The sequence below is a fragment of the Homo sapiens genome, chromosome 4 (genome assembly GCF_000001405.40).
Source record: "Homo sapiens chromosome 4, GRCh38.p14 Primary Assembly".
Classification (NCBI taxonomy): domain Eukaryota; kingdom Metazoa; phylum Chordata; class Mammalia; order Primates; family Hominidae; genus Homo; species Homo sapiens.
In genome coordinates, this window is record NC_000004.12 from 183,397,953 (window position 1) to 183,418,271 (window position 20,319).

Here is a 20,319-nt window from a genome sequence, read left to right on the forward strand (position 1 = left end):
CTTGCAGGCGCCCTTGGGTTCTCCGAGGGGGCTTGGCAGCCACGGGGACCAGAGAGGCGTGAGACATGAGGGTAGTTAGGGTAATTAGGGCAGGGCCCCCTGAAGGAGAGCCTTCCAGCCCAGGCTGCCTCGGGAGGATGCACTTTACCATCCGAACCAAGTGGGGAAGAGGAAGAGAGGCGATCAGTCGCTGCAACAAACCAAGTGCTTCAGGTGGGAGGATTACTTGAGGCCAGGAGTTTGAGACCAGCCTGGCCAACATAGCGAGACCCTGTCTCTCTTTTTTTCAAAAAGGCAAAATTTAAATTAAAAAAAAAGAAAGAAAGAAAGAAAAAGAGGAAGTGCTGGCCGGCACAGCAGAAACCTTGGGGCAACAGTGACCACGTGGGCAGAGGCTGCGAGTGTCAGCAAAAGAGGACAGGCCGAGAACTGCTGGTTTGCAGACCCCTAACTGGCCCCCGCTGGCCCCCGCAGCTGACTCAGCGCACCCTAAACTCGGAGGAAGTGCCAGACGGCCAGGTCCTGGGCAGCCCGGGCGCTCGCTCCGCTCCAGGTCTCCCGAGCAGGGGTGCAGGCCCGAGCACCCGCACGTGGCGTGCGCCCCTAGCTCCTCCCGGGGCGGCAGCTCACCAGCCCCCGCCTTAGTGGCTGGCTTCCACCCAGCCAAAGCCAGGAAATGTCTGTCCTTAAGCCTCGATTTGTTAATTATTTAAGCACTCTGTGTGTGTGTGAGAGAGAGAGCGTGTGTGTTTAATTTCCTTTATTTAAAAAGCACGCCGAGCCCACTGGGACCGCGGTGCTGAAGAGGCCGCCGGGCCCGGGAGAGACTGCATTCTGAGAACCAGCCCGCAAGCCCCGAAGTCGGAGATCGCAAGGTCCTAGCGGCAACAGAGCCTCCTAGCGATGGCAGCGAGCCTCGCCCCGCCTGCGGTGAACCCGCCCCCGCTCACCCCGCCACAGGTCCGGCGTCTCCCGGGTCCGCCGCGGCCGCGGGCAGAGCTAGGAGGGCTTCTCAGCCCGCGGGGCAACCCTGCTGCGGCTCCATCCAGAACCTCCCGCTGCCAGGCGCCGGGACCGGGGACGCTGGCCCCCGGATTCAAACCTATCATGGTGCATGATAACACATAACATAACATAACATAACATAACATAACATAACATAACATAACATAACATAACATAACATAACATCACAACACCACATCACAACACAACACAACACAACACAACACAACACAACACAACACAACATAACACTGAGCGTTTAGATTCAGCATGTACTCTGGGCCAGGCTCAGCTCTAAGCTGGTGCGGATCACCACGATGACCTCTAGAGTCTCCTCTGAGGTGGGTTCTACTGTTAGCCCATCTAACAGATGAGGAAATGCAGATAGAAGTGGTGGAGGAAGTGGCCCAAGCTCAGGCGGTGGCTAAGTGACTCCAGGGCAAGCCCCTCGCCCCCTGTGCTGGAGGAAGCCCGCGCCCAGGCTCTGTCGCTGAGCAGGGCACGCCTTCCACGCAGCACCCAAATGCATCGAACACTGTGCACGCGCACGAGAATAAGAAACCGTGACAAAAATACGGGTGCATCAATGTAGAGTAATGAGAAGGCAAAGCTGTTTGTAAGCACGATACAAAACCCAGAAAACATCAGGGGAAAAAATGGAAAAGCCCGACCAAATACAAAATTTTAAACCTAGGTTGGCTATAAAATAATATACCACTGAAGAACTGGGGCCCGGCATGGTGGCTCGGGCCTGTAATCCTAGCACTTTGAGAGGCCACAGCGGCCTCCCAAAGGATCGCCTGAGGCCAGGAATTCAAGACCAGCCCGGACAACACAGTGCGATCCCGTCTCTATTTATTTAAAAAAAATAAAAGAGGAAGTACTCGCGGTACAGCACAGAGGATTGCTTGAGCCCAGGAATTGGAGACCAGTTTGGGTAACATAGCAAGTCCTCGTCTCTACTAAACAACAACAACAAAAATTACTCAGGCACGATGGTGCACATCTGTATTCCCAGCTACTCTGGAGACAGGAGGATGGCCTGAGCCCAGGAGACAGAGGCTGCAGTGAGCCGAGATCGTGCAACTGCATTCCAGCCTGGGCAACAGACTGAGACTCCGTCTCCAAAAAAACAAAACCAAACCAAAACTGAAGAACTGGGAAAATATTCATGATACTTATTAGGAATGAATGGCTAAGTTTACTAATATCCCCAAAACTCTTAATGACAAAAGATGTAAACACACATTTCAGAGAAGGAACTAAAAATGGAGGATAAGCAAATTGAAAAGGTGCTCAATTTCCTTCCTTCCTTCCTTCCTTCCTTCCTTCCTTCCTTCCTTCCTTCCTTCCAGACGGATTCTCACTCTTTTGCCCAATGGCACAATCTTGGCTCACTGCAACCTCCACCTCCCAGGTTCAAGCGATTCTCGTGCCTCAACCTCCCAAGCAGCTGAGATTACAGGCATGTGCCACCACTCTAGGCAAATGTGTGTATTTTTAGTAGAGATGCGATTTCCTCATGTTGGCCAGGCTGGTCTCGAACTCCTGGCCTCAAGTGATCCACCCACCTTGGCCTCGCAAAGTGCTGGGATTACAGGCGTGAGCCACCGTGACCGGCCAGGAGGGCGTTTTTCACCTGTAACGTTTGCAACTGTGAGTTCACATCAATTGCCCCATTTTCAGTTCTGCACCGGAGACTTCAATCTAGTTTTCTTGTTTTCCATAATTATAACTGTTCTCTCTAGTAGTGAGAAACTCGGCTCCCGTCACTCTCAATATATTTAGTTACGGAGTCCTCCCCCTCCATGTATCCAGTCTCCCATTCCCTCTGCCCCACTATCCTACTGCTTGGACTTGGGTACCCTTCTCTGGCTGCTGCCTCCACTGCCCCTACACAGATGCCCCCTCTAACCATGTAGATTCTGCCACCCTACTGTGTCCTCTCTACCCCGCCCCCACATGTACACCTACCTCGACGTTGTTGGCTGTACATTCCCTGTGGGTCTTCCCTTCCATGCAGGTGACCTCCCTGCTTGGCCCCTCCGTTAATTCAGACATTAAAGATAAATGCGGCCGGGCGCAGTAGCTCAAGCCTGTAATCCCAGCACTTTGGGAGGCCGAGGTGGGCTGATCATGAGGTCAGGAGTTCAAGACCAGCCTGGTCAACATAATGAAACCCCGTCTCTACTAAAAATACAAAAATTAGCCAGGCACGGTGGCAGGCACCTGTAGTCCCAGCTACTTGGGATGCTGAGGCAGGAAAATCGCTTGAACCCGGGAGGCAGAGGTCACAGTGAGGTGAGATCATGCCACTGCACTCCAGCCTGGGCAACAGGGTGAGATCCTGTCTCAAAAAATAAAATAAAATAAATAAAATAAAGATAAATCCACTTGTGTGGAATGATTGGCTCAAAGGCCATACCTCTTTGAATACACATTGCCAAATTGCCTTCCTAAGTGTTTGTGCCAATTGATCCTGCACTGAGAATCGCATCTGAGTGCCTGTTTAACGACACCTTTGCTGGCATTGGATATTATCTATATTTTTCCAGTCCCTTTTTCTTTTGGTTTCTTTCATAAGGGCTGTGCCCAGGACAGAACGAATTCCAGAGCTCTTTATGGAGCCATCTCATCCAGCCGCCTGACTCACCTACGTTCATACCTCAGCCATCTGATTCGTTTTGATCACCAGTTTTGATCTGATTAACTGGTGAGCTGCAGAGTACTAAGCCATTGGTATAGTTACCACATTTCTTTAATGAGCTCATGCTCCCCCCATTCAAAAAGTAGTGACTGAGCAGCAGTATGATGTGCTGGGTTTTATAGGAGTTTGCAAAGATGTGTAAGTTACAGTCTCTGGCCCTCAATGCTCTTGTATTCTTGAAAAGGGCAGATATTCAGATGATATTATGAATACAGCGGTCATGTGATAAGAACTCCAACATAATCTGGGGTTCAGGTTATGCACCTGGAAAGTGGTGTGTCCAAAATCTTCCAGTGCCAATATTCAGAGTGATTCCACAGTTACACGCCACCACCCTGTAAACTCACCTCCCTCTCCTTCCCAACACAAGCCCTGTGCCCCCATCAGACTAGTCTCCTGGCCTCCAAATGCAAAAATACACTGTGTTTACTACTGATGGCATATCTTATCAGAACCCCTCCCACTCCTCAGACAGCTGCATACATACGTTCTCTCATTTAACTCACACAGCAACTCTGTTGAGGCAGTTATTTTAATCTTCCCTCCTTAGATACTGACACTGACTTCAAAGATGGTCTTGCCAAAGGTCTTAAAAATGGGGCAGAAAGTTGAACCTAGGGATGTCAGACCCCAAATTGTGTGGGCATCCTTCCCTTGCCACGGGCAGCTTCATTGCCAGGGTGTCCTTCCCCATGTCCTGCTCTTCTTCCCGCAGGGACCACCCTCCCTCTCTGCCCAGTGCCTGCCTCTTGGTTTTATGTAGGTTTTATCCATCCATCAAGGTCCAGCTGAAAAGCCCACAAAATTTCCCAAATCCTCCCGGCTGAGATTTCTCCGGGAAGCTGAATCACAGTCTTTGGTAGACTTTTCACAAGGTCATCTGGCAAGGTTTTGATGGAGATAGATGGGATCTCCAAAGGAATAATTCCTGGGCCCCAAGCTGACTTCTAGTGACATCCCCAGAGTCACGTGTTCCTCTGGGTGGAAACTCTTTTAAAACAAATGTTCACCTTATTCACTGGGCTTGATAAATTCTCCCTGGGTGAAGGCCACGTGGAGCCCCTGGTCTGATGGGGACAGGAGGGACTGTGTGTGAAAAGGAAATTAATTCAATGCTCGCAAAAGGAAGATTCTATCAGGAAATATACCTAATTGGTGTAAAAGGCCACTGTGGTTGTTGGCACTAAGCCACTCACCCTGCCAGCCTCAGTGCTTAGTGTATTTATGTCCTTTGTCACCTTCCTAATTGGAAGGAGTCACTCTACTGACTCACCATCTTTCTCCCCTTTATGGAAGAGCCGTGGGAGGTAGTGTCACTCAAGGTCAAGGGCTCAGAATTGGTCTGGGTCTGCAGTGAGATGGTGTCATTACCCTGAGAGCTGCTTGGCAGCGTTTGGAAGGTAAATTAGTGTCTTCAGTTGAAGACTTGCTGCACAGATGGCCACCTTAGTTGGCGTGACATCTCACTTCCTTGTCTCCCCCTCAGAGGAAAATGCCTGGGCTGGCTGGGCCTCATGACTATGAATTTCCATTACTTTTTTTTTTTTTTCCAAGATGGAGTCTCGCTCTGTCACCCAGGCTGGAGTGCAATGGCGTGATCTCAGCTCACTGCAACCTCTGCCTCCCAGGTTCAAGCGACTCTCCTGCCTCAGCCTCCCGAGTAGCTGGGACTACAAGCACGCGCCATCACACCCAGCTAATTTTTTGTATTTTTAGAAGAGACAGGGTTTCATTAAGTTGGCCAGGTTGGTCTTGAACTCCTGACCTCAGGTGTTCCTCACCTGAGGAACCTGACCTCAGGTGATCCACCCACCTCGGCCTCCCAAGGTACAGGAATTACAGGCATGAGCCACTGCACCCGGCTGAATTTCCATTACTTTTGAAACACAATAAAATAACTAGAAAGAGAAGCTTAAAATCAGCCCAGTACTAAGAATGTACCCATGAGGACGACAGAGGCAGCAGGATGTCGAAACTGTGCTTGGGAAGCAGGCAGCTGGGCGGGCGCTCAGACACGCTGACTCAGGAGCTCAGTCTGCCCCTCATCGCTCTTCCCTTCACTCAGAGAATTCTCTTGCCCCCAAATGCAAGTGTCAGACTGCTGAAAAACTCCTTGAAGTTCAGGCATTTCGTCTTTCTACCCTCCTGTCCACCCTCCTGGCAGAGGCAATGAATCAAATTTCTAACAGCCTCTCTTTCCTCTGCAAGCTTGGCCACGTCCAAAGGGAAGTCATCTTAAAGCTGGGATGGAGAAAGAAAAGAAGGTATAAGCCATGCTCAGAACCTTCTGGGCTCAACTCTAGTGTGTGTTCCCACCCAGCCCCAGCCTGAGAAGGCTTAGACTGAGAAAAGCCAACCAGATCATAGAAAAGCCCTCGGGGACAGGGACCAAGGCCCTTGGCCCTCAGCCTAGCTTGAGCTCCCAGCCAACAGCCAACTCTGATTTTCCAGCCATGTGCAAGACCCATCCTGTAAATGGATCCTCCAGCCCCCAGTGCAGCTGCCCTGGGGCCCAGTCAATGCCATGTGGAGCTCATATGAGCTTTCCCTCTGTGTCCCAGCTGCAGATCTGATGATCTGCTATTTCAGTGAAGCTTTGGGATGGCTTGCTACTCCGCAACAGATAACCGTAACACCAGGGTTCCAGCATTCCCTGAGGCAGCTCAGAGGGATGCTGACCACTCAGCACGCCTCAGGAAGGGGCCACTGGCCAGCCTCGCACAGGCAAGACGATACAAGCCTGTGAGATGGCATCCAAACGGCAAGCCCAGCGCTGAACACCTTTTACACACCTTTCATGCTTTCCAGCCCCCTCTCCCACTACTCCTCACCCGTATCCTTGGATCTTGGGAACCTGCTCAGTATTTGGGAGACTTGACCACGGTTGCTGTAACTTAGTAAATATAAATGGGGAGTAGGAGCCCCAGTCACCTTTTCTCCCAAGTCCAAGCCCATTACCCCCGCTGCCGTGGGGCCTTTTGCGGGCTCCCTTCCACACCTAGCATGTTGCTTTGTGGAAAATGGATTCACAATGGGAACAAGGGGAGTTTGGGGTCTAGGAGGAAATCCAAGGGATGTGATTGCTGCAGGAGCCCAGGCAGGAAGGAGTTCAAGGAGATCAGGACCATTAATATCACGTAGAATAGAGAGGCCATGAGAGAAAAGAGACTAAAGCATCTAGATATGGGAGAATGGACATGAGTTCCAAGAGCAGAAGGGACAGAAACTAACTTGGGGTGGCTTAGAGTGAGTAGGAGGGAGGAGGTAGAGCCGGTGGGTGCTCGCAGGCAAGCCCATCCTAAAGCTTGTGGAGAAGGGAAGGGAAAAGGTATGAAGCAGACAAGGGGGAGGTGGAGGGCTAGGGAAGATCTCTAGTTTCTAGGATAGTTTGGTTTTTAAGAATGAAGTTGCTGGCCAGGTGCGGTGGCTCACGCCTGTAATCCCAGCACTTTGGGAGGCTGAGGCGGGCGGATCACAAGGTCAGGAGTTTGAGACCAGCCTGGCCAACATAGTGAAACCCCGTCTCTACTAAAAATAGAAAAAATTAGCTGGGCGTGGTGGCGGGCGCCTGTAATCCCAGCTACTTGGGAGACTGAGGCAGGAGAATCGCTTGAACCGGGGAGGCGGAGGTTGCAGTGAGCCGAGATTGTGCCATTGCACTCCAGCCTGGGCAAAGGGCGAGACTTTGTCTCAAAAAAAAAAAAAAAAAAAAAGAATGAAGTTGCTAAGCAAGTTTATTCAAGAGAACAGCTGAGAGGAGGGGCTGACCCTAAGGCCTGGTCCCTGGACCGTCTCCTGGTCCAGAATGCAGGAGCTGTCCCTGAGCAACCGTGGACATGCTGGGGGCTGAAGGGACCCACGGGGTGCAGGGAGCCAAGCAAGGAAGGAAGTGCCTAATCAAAGGACTGTGTTAGCGCCTTCCGTGCCCGCGTGCAGGAGGGGCTGTGGGGCAGCAAGCCTTCGCCAGGCCACGGGCCTGGAAGCAACATGTGCCTGCAGCTGAGCTCTAACTCTTAACTCAGATGGTCTTCTACAGACCAATAAAAATAGCATTTTCCAAAAACAGGTTGATTACCCCTTATCTAGAATGCCTTGGGCGAGAAGTGTTTTGAATTTTGGATGTTTTTTGGATTTTTAAATATTTGCATATACATAATGAGATATCTTGGGGATGGGATCAAAGTCTAATTCATTTATGTTTCATATACACCTTATACACATCATCTGAGGGTAATTTTATAAAATATTTTAAAATAATTTTATGTAGGCCAGGCACGATGGCTCATACCTGTAATCCCAGAACTTTGGGAGGAAGAGGTGGGAGGATCACTTGTATCCAGGAGGTGGAGGTTGCAGTGAGCCAAGATCGCACTACTGCACTTCATCCTGGGCAACAGAGCGAGACTCTGTCTCAAAAAATAAAATAAAGGCCGGGCGCGGTGGCTCACGCCTGTAATCCCAGCACTCTGGGAGGCCGAGGTGGGCAGATCACGAGGTCAGGAGATTGAGACCATCCTGGCTAACACGGTGAAACCCCGTCTCTACTAAAAAATATAAAAAATTAGCCAGGTGTGGTGGCGGGCGCCTGTAGTTCCAGCTACTCGGGAGGCTGAGGCAGGAGAATGGCGTGAACCCAGGAGGGGCAGCTTGCAGTGAGCCGAGATCGCACCACTGCAGTCCAGCCTGGGCGACAGAGTGAGACTCCATCTCAAAAAAATAAATAAATAAATAAATAAAATAAAAATAAAGGGTAGCTTTTGGCTACCCAGGGCACACTGCCTATGGGGTAGCCCTGCTCCTCAAGGGGCAGTTAAAAAAATAAAAAGGAGGCCGGGCGCGGTGGCTCACGCCTGTAATCCCAGCACTTTGTGAGGCCGAGGCGGGTGGATCACGAGGTCAGGAGATCGAGACCATCCTGGCTAACGCGGTGAAACCCCGTCTCTACTAAAAAAACACAAAAAAATTAGCCGGGCGTGGTTGCGGGCGCCTGTAGTCCCAGCTACTCGGGAGGCTGAGGCAGGAGAATGGCGTGAACCCGGGAGGCGGAGCTTGCAGTGAGACGAGATCGCACCACTGCAGTCCAGCCTGGGCGACAGAGCGAGACTCGCAAGGACAGAAAACCAAACACCGCATGTTCTCACTTATAGGTGGGAATTGAACAATGAGAACACTTGGACACAGGAAGGGGGACATCACACACCGGGGACTGGCGAGGGGTGGGGGGAGGGGGGAGGGGGAGGGACAGCATTAGGAGATATACCTAATGTAAATGAGGAGTTAATGGGTGCAGCACACCAACATGCCACATGTATACATATGTAACAAACCTGCACGTTGTGCACATGTACCGTAGAACTTAAAGTATAATAATAATAAATAAAAAAGAAAAAAAAAAAGATGTGCTCTATTCTTTCTTTATGTAAAAGAGAGCAAACCTGGCCTATCCACGCTGCAAGTGGTTGTGGAGGGGCTGGCCCGCGCCCCTTCCGCGCAGTCTCCTTCCGCGTCACCTCTGTGACCGCTGTGCCCAGTCGGGCCCCACAGAAGCGGCAAGCGACGTCCTCAACCGCAATCTCGGCTCCTCGGGCGCCACCCAGTGGCCTCGGGGCGGAATCGCGGGCGAGCTCGGAGGGGCTCGGGGTGGCGGGGCGCAGCGCGGCGCCTGTAAAACAACCCTTTGTCTTCAGAAGGCGCTTGTCCTGCCAAAGCAAAGCACCGTGCTTTACAGCTACTGGAAGAGCAGTCCTGAGAAACAAAGCCCCGATTTTTTATAGCCACCGGGGAAACCAGAGCCCACTTCCTTCCTCCAGGACCAGGGCTTTATTGATGCGGATCATCTTGTTTCAGGGCTGACCTGCTGCCATCCCTCCAAGAGAGACAGGAGAAAGATTGAAGCTCTCTCAGGGAATTCATCAAAGGTTTTTCTGTTCAGGTTACCAAACTGTTACAAAGAACTCTCTTATGGATCTCTTTCTCTTTCTTTTCTTTTCTTTTTCTCTTTCCTTTCTTTCTTTTCGTTCTTCCTTTCTTTTCCTCTTGCTTTCTCTTTTTCTTTCTTCTTGCTTTCTCTTTTTCTTTCTTCCTTCTCTTTCTTGCTTTCTCTCTTTTTTCTTTCTTCCTTCTTTCTTTCTTCTTTCTCCTCTTCCTTCTTTCCTTTCCTTCCTTCCTTTCTTTCTTTTCTTTCATTCTTTCCTTCCTTCCTTTCCTCTTTCTTTCTCTTTCTTCTTTCTTCCTCTCCTTTTTTTCTTTCTTTTCTTCTTTCTCTTCTTCCTTCTTTCCCTTCCTTCCTCTCTCTCTTTCTCTTTCTTTCCTTCCTGCCTTTTTCCTTCCTTCCCTTTCCTTCCTTTCTTTTTCTTTCTTTCTTTCATTTTTTTCTCTCCCTTTCTTTTCTTTTCTTTTTTTTTTTGAGTTTTTAAATAACACTGAGCGTGATCTGCCCTTCCCTGCACAGCTGAGAGGAAGAGACTTGGGGGTACGTGATGAGTGACACCTTTAGTGCCCTTCTGTGCCCTCCTGTCAGGGAGGGAAACAGCTTCTGCCTCTGGGGGGGAGATGCCAGGAAGCTCAGCACGGGACCAAAGGGGGCCCAGGTGAGGAGGGTGTTTGGGGCGGGGAGCCAGTAGGCACCATGGGCCCTGGTCTTCTTCAGGCCTCGGTGCCCACCGTCCCCCACTCCCCCAGACAGCCATGCATCCAGGTGCTGTGACCAAGTGAGGCGATACAGTGGGTGCTAGACCATGAATTCAATTTCTCCTAAAGGAATTCAGGAGAAACCATGTCAGAATAAAGGTTTCACCAAATTCAAGAATGAAAACTCCGAACCAATTATTAGCCAAAGACGATGATGCAGGGAAGGTGGCCTTCCCAAGCAGGGGGGTTGCGTTGAAAGTTCTGCTGTGAGCGATCAAGTTACTTAACCCTCTGAGGCTCAACCTCCTCTGCTAAATGGGGATGTCAATGACACCCACTTCATAAGACTGTTGTGAGTTTTTATTGAGGTGATATACATTTAACGGTGATCAATTTTACTCATAGACTTGAGTATTAAAAAAAGTGCCACATTCAGAATGTTCCCAAATCATATTAAATCAGCTTGCCTGTATGGTGAGAAATTCAATCCGTTGAATTTGAGGTGTCCTTCTTGTCTCTAGGATCACATGAGAGTCGTTGGTAACCCTGTCGTGTCCAGAAAGCCAGTGCTGGGCCTTTAGCTCTAGTCCATCAGGGTAATGCCAAACCCCGGCCCAGCCCAGTCCCTAAGACTGACAGCCATGGAGGGCAGGGCCAGGCCTCCCAGGGCCCCCTCCCAACCAAGCCCTCTGGGTTACTTCCTCCTTCCTGAGGGGGCTGAGTGTGGGCTGGTGGGGCAGGGCTTGTCTTTATTACTAGCAGAATACACACACACACACGCACACACACGGACACACACGCACGCACACATCTATTCCGCTGCCAGCCTTAGGAGCTGTCTCCAAGACTCTGGCACTCTGCACCCTCCACCTCTTGCCCTCCAAGGGCTCTGTCTTGTGCCCTGAAGGAGAGATTTCACACAATCCCCAACATGAGGCTGGAGAGCCCAGTACTTGGGATGGCAAAGGAGAAACAAAGACAACAGCAAGAACGACAACGTGGAAAACACAGATTAATTCCTCAGTGAATCACCCTGTAAAACCATAGCACATGTACAAGGCAAATCCTCAGTAACTGGGAATTGTCATCGATGTAAGAGGCTGGATTGGGGACACATAAACTATTGTCATTAGTGCTGTATTATTGCTGTGCTGCGGCCTACTCAGCTGTTCCTTTTGTTGTATGGACCTACCTGCCCATTGGTGCCCTACTGGTCTGGATGTAGGCTCTGGATAGCAGAGAGCAGCTTGCTCAGAGCTCACTCAGGGGACCTGCCTAAGCCTTTGCTATGTGAGTTTCTGCTGTGTGTGTGTGTGTGTGTGTGTGTGTGTGTGTTTTCAATATCTACAGAGATAAATCAGTTCAAACAAACTGTGCTGTGTAAGTGACCTGCCCTTGGTGAGCCCTCACTGCAGATTTGATCTTTCAACCACAGGAGAGAGAACTGTACTCCAGGGGAGAGAATTGCATCGGGTCAGGAGGTCTGGGCTGTCCTTCAGCCCTCGGTGGCTCTGTGCTCGGCCTCTGCACTGGGACCTTGACGTTCACTATCTTGGGTTTTTCTCCTCTGATGGGAGATGGGGTGGAGGCAGGGGATCCCACCTTCCCTGCCTACCTCCCTGGGATCAAAAGAGGTCACAGGATATTCAGTGGACACATTCTGAAAAACACTTGTCAGACGAGGTAATTATATTTCAGATAATAACGTGAGCAGGGAAATGCCAATGCCTGAAATTCCCTACGTCACAAAATAGCTTCGTGCTAGCCTGATACCCAGGCGCGACAGAAACTCAGAGCCCATGCCTCTTTCTGGCCTCAAGCTTGCATTCTTCCATGGGGAGTGACCGGGCCAACCATCTCTGTCATCTACTCCCAGCCTCCTGCCACTTGCCGAGAGTGGGGGCTGTGGAACCATCCCTTGGGGCCTCTCGACCTGTCTCTATCCCACCTTCCTTCTCTTCCATACCACCCCACTGGCTTCCTGGACCTCCTGCTTGGGGCAGCCCTGGCCCCTCCTCACTGATCACTGCCACAGGGGAGAGAGGGCTGAGCCTCGCAGAGAAAAAGCTGGCGTTTCATGAACGTGTGGCATGAGCTGCATCGTCTCATCAGTGCTTGTACAACCCTCTGACTTGGCCTTTTCATTTTTACAGATGAGGAAACTGAGGCTCAGTAACATGTTCAGCTTATGCCCAAGTTCACACAGCTGAGAAGACACAGAACAAGACCCTGCGCCTTCATCCCTGGACCCTATCTCTGCAGTGCCAGAGGGGCTCCGAAGCCCGGGTCTCCACCCCATTCTCTGCCTCTCCTAAAGGGACTGATTCCCAGCTTGGCCACAGAGTGTGGGCAAAACAGAACTGGCCCCACTCAGTCACCTCTGAAGAGCTTTCCCAGCCCAAGAGGAAGACACCCAGCTAAGCAGACCAGCTGCCTGCAGAGGCTTTGGGGAGACGGTGGCCCCAGGAGGGGTTCCCATTGATTCTATTTCAATAAGGGAAATGTAATAAGTATTTTTTGTCCCAATGGTCAAAAAATGACAACAAATTTAGTTTAAAGATCTTAATTGTGGTCGGGCATGGTGGCCCATGCCTGTAATCCCAGCACTTTGGGAGGCCGAGGCAGGCAGATCACTTGAGGTCAGGAGTTCGTGACCAGCTTAGCCAACATGTTGAAACCATGTCTATTAAAAATACAAAAAAATAGCCGGGTGTGGTGGCGTGCATGTGTAATCCCAGCTACTCAAGAGGCTGAGGCAGGAGAATCGCTTGAACCTGGGAAGCAGAGGTTGCAGTGAGCCGAGATCGTGTCACTGCACTCCACCCTGGGCAACAGAACGAGACTCTGTCTCCAAAAAAAAAAAAAAAAAAAAGAAAACCTTAATTGATTATTTATTTGTGATTCCAGAATCAGGCAGCCCCTGTACTGGAATAGGTTCAAAGCACTGTGGCCAGACAGCACGGTGGTCAGGCAGTAGCAGAGGATAGAAAATGGAAGGGCAGCCTAGCGCTGAATGGTTGCAGCTGGGCATTTGCCTAAGTTGACTCAGTTGACCACCCATGGTTGACTGAAGCTCAGCTGCTGTAATGAGTGGAGGCTCAGCTGTTAGTTACAGAAGTATGCTCCTACGTTAGGTTTTCAGTTAGTTTCTGAACTAAGCCAGGCGGCAGTTTGTTATGTCAGGGCTCGAGTGCGGAGGCATCCTCGGGCCAAGTTTAGGTTAATTTAACACCACTGAGAGACCGCAAGATGACAAAGAAAAATCCAGCATTGACAAGGCACATCTAGAAATTTCACAATACTTCCCAGCCTCCGTGACTCTTGTAAATATTAATTTAACCCTCTGGGTAAATTGGTAATAAAATTCTCTTTGTATTAAGGCAATGGTAAAAGTTAATAGGCTGTAAGCCAGAATAATTCCTGGGTGGTTTTATTGCGGAGCATGTGAGTGCCTCGAATTGTACTGTGAGGCACTGAGTTTCTAGGCCACACTCCATGACTGGAATAGCATTATCGTTGACTCATGTGGCATTCCCATTATTGTTATACAACCTGGTACAAAGCAGGTGTTCAATAAACATCATTGTAAGGCCATGTGCAGTGGCTCACCCCTGTAATCCGAGCACTTTGGGAGGCCGAAGCGGGTGGATCACCTGAGGCCAGGAGTTCAAGACCAGCCTGGCTAAGATGGTAAAACCCAGTCTCTACTAAAAATACGGGTGTGGTGGCACGTGCCTGTAATCCCAGCTACCTGGGAGGCTGAGGCAGGAGAACCACTTGAACCTGGGAGGTAGAGGTTGCAGTGAGCCGAGATTGTGCCACTGTACTCCAGCCTGGGCAACACAGCGAGACTCTCTCAAAAAAAATTAAAATAAAATAAAGATAAACATCATTATAGTGAGTATTGAACTCAGCACACATAGCACAAAACAAAAATCTAGGGGCTACAGTTAATATTTTTTTAATGTCCATGGTTCAGGAATGGATCTAGAAACTTCTTCCTTTAGTGCCCTAAAACAGAGATCCTAGAAAACTAAGATGCTTTCGTTTGGGAAGTTTCCTGATCCCTTGTAGAATCTTCCTGATAGCTGACCCCAGTGCTCAGAACGATAACAAATTCTGAATTTTGTACAGGAAGTGTGTAAAAAAACACATTTTACCACTGACCTCAACAAAAATAACAACCCCAGTCAAAGATCTAGTGACACCAGAATATCTTTAAAAAATGCCTGTAGGCCGGGCACGGTGGCTCATGCTTGTAATCCCAGCACTTTGGGAGGCCAAGGTGGGCGGATCACCTGAGGTCGGGAGTTCAAGACCAGCCTGGCCAACATGGAGAAATCCTGTCTTTACTAAAAACACAAAATTAGTTGGGCGTGGTGGCAGGTGCCGGCTACTTGGGAGGCGGAGGCAGGAGAATCCCTTGAACCCGGGAGGCAGAGGTTGTGGTGAGCCGAGATCGCGGCATTGTATACCAGCCTGGGCGACAAGAGCGAAAAGCCACCTCAAAAAAAAAAAAAAATTGCCTGCTACCTGGTCACTAAACCTCAGGAATCCAAGGCCCCGGCTCACTCGGTGCTCACAGTTTGAGGGTGACATCTACCTGGTCTCTCTAAAAGAGCAAAACATCATTCCATAGCGTCACTATGAACAGCTGGCCTTCCCGTCATTCTCCTCACTTCATCCCATGATCAGTCAAGCCAGGAAGGAAGAAGTCAGTAAGACACTGACGCCTTTCCTGTTAGACAACCAGGAAGACCCGCGTTTAGTTATCACACTGTAAATCAATCCTGACACCTTCTCCGTGATCCTAGGTCTTCCTGTGATATTCACTGTTTTGTTTATGTCCTTTTGCTTTAATTCAAGACCCTGTGACCGCATCGTGCCCAGCTCATGCTCTGCATTAGTAAAATAGTGGCCGCTGTGGCGTTGGGGTGTTTTTCTTGCCCTCGAGTTTAGCTCAAGTACTGGGGCTTTCATGTGCAGACACACCGTGATGGGTGAGCAAGGATCTGGAGGAGCCTGGAGGGTCTGGGGCTGGTGGGTGGTTCTGGAAACTAATGACTCTAGTGCCCCACCATTCACCTGACTCCGCCACTGTCTCTATCTCTTTTTCTTGTGATGCTTCTCAGTTCTCCTGCCCCCAGGCAGCCGCTGTACTGTCATCTGCTTGTCATTGTCTATGTCTCCTGCCCAAGGGAAGCCTCATCCTGCAGTGATCCCTCGTAGCCCTCCTGCCTCATCGCCTTTCCTGCGCAGCCTCTCAGCAAAGTCAGGTTCCACCGCTGCCAGCCTGCCTCTGCGTATTTCAGAGAGGTGACCTGGTGGACAAGGCAGAGCTCTCCAGGTCAGGCCCCTGCAGGGCCGATGACAAGCCTACCACGTGGCCCAGAATAAGACACCAGGTGCCAGCAGCAGCCTGGTTCTGCGCAGGTGCAGCTGTGTTTCAGGAGCAGGCTGAGCGCGGCAGGGGCTGTGACGGACACATCCAGGACAACAGCCCGGGGCACAGGAGCCTTTCCTCTGCCCTCTATTTGGGTTTATGCATCCGTTCATCTGGTCTACTTGGGGTCAGCAAGGTCCTCCGTGTTGTTGAGTCTGATGGCCAATTTCCAGGCCTGGTTCTCCCTGACTTTGCGCAGGCATCCGACCTGCTGTCTCCCTCTCCTCCTGGAAGAAGCTCGGCCCCAGGACACCACACTCGCCTGCCGCCGCCTGACTCTCCCGGCAGCCCCTTTCTTGGTCTCCTTCACTCTTCTGCCCCTCCCTTTATCGTTCCCCAAGCAAGGGCTACAGATTCCTTGATTACCTCATTGATGTCATTGGTCTGATCGCTTTGAATACCATCTCCACGCTGATGACTGGAATTTACACCTCCATCCCAGGCCTCCCCCTGAACTCCAGCTGCAGACTCCCGGCTGCCGACTTTCCACTCAGTTGTCTAACGCTCATCTGAAACCTAAAGTGCCCAAACTCCTGATATTCATTTCTAAGTTTATTTTAATTTTTGTACATTAAAAAATTTAGGCCAGGTACAGCTCATGCCTGTAATCCCAGCGCTTTGGGAGGTTGAGGCAGGAGGGTCACTTGAGCCCAGGAGTTTTGACCAGCCTGGGCAATATGGCAAAACCCTGTCTCTATTAAAAATATATATAAATTGAGGCTGGGCGCGATGGCTCACACCTGTAATCCCAGTACTTTGGGAGGCTGAGGCGGGCGGATCACCTGAGGTCAGGAGTTCGAAACCAGCCTGACCAACATGGTGAAACCCCGTCTCTACTAAAAATACAGAAATTAGCTGGGCATGGTGGCACGTGTCTGTAATCCCAGCTACTCAGGAGGCTGAAGCAGGAGAATCGCTTGAACCTGGGAGGCAGAGGCTGCAGTGAGCTGAGATCGTGCCACTGCACTCCAACCTGGGTGACAGAGCTCTGTCTCAAAAAAAGATATATATATATATACACACACACACACACACACACACACACACACACATATATAATTATATATATGTATAAATTTAATAAAAATGTTTCTGTAGCTAAACATCTTGGTATGTTGCCCAGTCTAGTCTCCAACTCCTGGCCTCAAGTGATCCTCCTGCCTTGGCCTCCCAAAGTGTTGGGATTACAGGCGTGAGCCACCACACCTGGCCTGACAGCCATTTCTATCAACTCCTCCCGCGATCCCTCCCAAAAAACCCCTGCTCCTCTGGGCTTCTTTGCAAATGATAACTTTATTCTTCATGTTGCTCAGACAAAATCTATATATATGATAAAATATCTTAAGAGATATATTTTATATAGTCATCTTCAACTTCTCTTTTTTCTCTCACTCCCACTTCCAGTCTTCAGCAAATTCTGTCAGTTCCGCCTTCAAAACGTGTCCAGAATCCACCCTCGGCTAACTCTCTCCCTGGCTCCCACGATCCTCCTGGCTCGTCACCTGCTTCCACCTTTGCCTGCTGTGGTCTCTTCTCAACTCAAGCCAAGCAACTCCGTTCAAATATGATTAGATCGCGGAATTCCTTAGCTCCAAACCCTCCAATAGAGCTTCCTCTGTTACTGAAATTGAATCCAAGGCCATACAAGGCTCGCAGACCCACAGTACCTGGACCCTCGCTGCATCTCTGACCCTTCTTCCTCCTCCTCTTGGTTCTCTTGCCCCACTTCCTCCAACACCCCAGACATGCCCCAACCTTGGTGGTCTTTGTCCCTGAGAGATATCCTCATGGTTGCCCCACCATCTCCTGCAGGTCTTTATTCAAATGTTGCCTTGTCTTGAGGCCTTTCCTGGACACCTCAGCTAAAACTGCCACCTCTACCCCCTAAAGCCCCCCTCCCTTCCCTCCTTAGTTTCCCTGATGAGCACAGACCACTGTCTAACACCCCACATTCTTACTGATTTATTGTCTGTATCCCTCAGTGAACAAAGCCTCCGGGAGAGCAGGCATTTGTGTCTGTTCTGTTCTGTGCTGTATCCCTAGCACCTAGAAGAGTGCCCGACACAGAGGAGTTTTCCATGAATACTTCTGGAATTCGCGAACCCATGGAAATCTTCATTGCCCTGTTCATCAGTCTTTGCGAGGCAGCTGCTGTCCGTGTGTGCACGCCTTCTCATGGCTGGTTGCTAGCTGTCCTTCAGCCAAAACAGAACCTTTCCAGGGTGCAGTTTGCCTAGACAATGCATTACTCACTTATGTGTTGTCGATCGACTGAGAGAGGGATTTTTTTTTAAACAATTTATTTATTTTTAGATGGAATTTTGTTCTTGTTGCCCAGGCTGCACCGCAATGGCACGATCTCGGCTCACTGCAACCTCTGCCTCCCGGGTTCAAGCGATTCTCCTGCCTCAGCCTCCTGAGTAGCTGGGATTACAGGTACGTGCACCACCACACCTTGCTAATTTTTGTATTTTTAGTAGAGACGAGGTTTCACCATGTTGGCCAGGCTGGTCTCGAACTCCTGACCTCAGGTGATTCGCGCACCTTGGCCTTCTGAAGTGCTGGGATTAGAGGCGTGAGTCACTGCACCTAGCTGGATTTTTTTCTTTTTTTAATTCACAAGACTTTGTTACTCTGTTCCTTCATTGGTACAGTATTAAAAAATTAAGAATATTCACTTCACCTTATAGTCTCATTTGCAACTAAAGATGGATCTATATCACATGGGCGCTATAATGTTAGACAATAGAAGAGTCTTTGTCAGAGGCCCTTGGTTACTCACTATTAAAGTCTCTAAGCTTCAAGAAGTTGGAATCTCAGAGAAGCAGGGCATTCTTCGTTGAGGGCCAGGGAGGGCGTGTATGGGCGGCTTGCTGACATCTAATTTGTAGGTCTAATCAGGAAACTGTCGGACCACCTGTCAAAAAGCAACTATTTCTATGTCAGTATTGTTCCAGCCACATGACAATCTGATGATAATCTTCATCTGGTCATTTAAAACTATGTCAGAATGACATTTAATTCATAATCCCTGAGGTGAAATTTAGGGGGAAAAAACTTTCTGTAATTTAGTTTAAAATGTCCATATATTGAAATGAACAGTGTTCAGTGTTTATTGCACGAAATGACACTTCCTCGCTTTCTCTTATATACATTTGTCATGTTATATGTTAAAGTATGAATGATTGTCAGGCTCTAGCTGAAAAGAGAGGGGCTGTAACAAGTCACCTGGAGTCCTGATTCCTTTCTCCATTGATTTCAGTCACCCCACAGTTCACGATGTCTAGTCCATCTGGCAGGCACAGGTGCAACTATAAAATAGGAAGAGGTTTTTATTACTTTCCAGTCCCGTTCTAAATGGAGCTGGTGACTGCAGTAGCCTGTCAACCTGCTGGTGATAAAACCTTTCAAATAAAAACTTCTCTTCGACAAAGATAAAGAAAACTAGATTCAGAGTCTAATCTCCTTGCCTCTTATAACCTTCTTCTTCTTCTTTTTTTTTTAAGAGCCTCTGTGAACATTATTTTTAAAGCCAACAATGAAACTCTACACTTCCACAATACAACCTAGGCCTTCAAAAACACAGATGCTGCTGACTTTGAATCACGGCCTCGCTCATTTCCTTCAGTCCTGGCAAATGAAGCAATTCAGAGGAATTGAATTGAGGCCCATCTCTATCCGCCCTGCATTCTCCTCTTCCTTCCAGGCTGTGCTGCTGAAGGAGACAGCTCAGGGGAGATGGCATGGATGCATGCTGGAGGATCCTGCAAAATCCCGGCAAGCTGGCTATGAGGCCAGCGGTGCTGACCCTCTACGCCAGATGGGAAGGCAGAGACACAATCTGTTTCACTCCGCAAACATCTGGGAACAAAATGGTCTGTCCACCAGTGCAAAATACCACCCCTAAGCAGTATTTCCAATTGTTCTTTTTATGGGCTGTCTGCACACACTCAGTGAAGCCAGCTCAAGTGGTTATTACTAATAGTCCATGCTTTACAACCACACCAGCACACAGAAAAAGAAAGAAGGCTTTTCTGGTTCATTTTTTTTTTTTTTTTTTTTTGAGACGGAGTCTCACTCTGTCGCCCAGGCTGGAGTGCAGTGGCGCGATCTCGGCTCACTGCAAGCTCCGCCTCCCAGGTTCAGGCCATTCTCCTGCCTCAGCCTCCTGAGTAGCTGGGACCACAGGCATCCGCCACCATGCCTGGCTAATTTTTTTTTGTATTTTTAGTAGAGACGGGGTTTCACCGTGGTCTCGATCCCCTGACCTCGTGATCCGCCCGCCTCGGCCTCCCAAAGTGCTGGGATTACAGGCGTGAGCCAACGCGCCTGGCCTCAGTTCATTTCTTGATGTCAAAACAACTGTGGCACCAACACATCTGGCAAATACCTTGCTGCGGGCACACAAACACGAAACCAATATTATTTATGATAGATGCACACATTCTAAATAAAATACTAGGCCAGGTGAGGTGGCTCATGCCTGTAATCCCAGCACTTTGGGAGGCTGAGGAGGGTGGATCACCTCAGGTCA

At 49.6% G+C, this 20,319-nt stretch overlaps 3 annotated features.

Moving 5' to 3' along the window:
• Positions 1-792: an enhancer, noted in NCBI's record as "H3K27ac-H3K4me1 hESC enhancer chr4:184319106-184319897 (GRCh37/hg19 assembly coordinates)". NCBI's record gives its function as "activates a minimal SCP1, AML or CMV promoter by ChIP-STARR-seq in naive H9 embryonic stem cells {active_cell/tissue: H9 hESC(naive)}" and the evidence as "EXISTENCE:reporter gene assay evidence [ECO:0000049][PMID:30033119]".
• Positions 9,442-9,621: an enhancer, noted in NCBI's record as "active region_22183". NCBI's record gives its function as "activates an Ori minimal core promoter by ATAC-STARR-seq in GM12878 lymphoblastoid cells {active_cell/tissue: GM12878}" and the evidence as "EXISTENCE:reporter gene assay evidence [ECO:0000049][PMID:35858748]".
• Positions 9,858-10,696: an enhancer, noted in NCBI's record as "H3K4me1 hESC enhancer chr4:184328963-184329801 (GRCh37/hg19 assembly coordinates)". NCBI's record gives its function as "activates a minimal SCP1, AML or CMV promoter by ChIP-STARR-seq in primed H9 embryonic stem cells {active_cell/tissue: H9 hESC(primed)}" and the evidence as "EXISTENCE:reporter gene assay evidence [ECO:0000049][PMID:30033119]".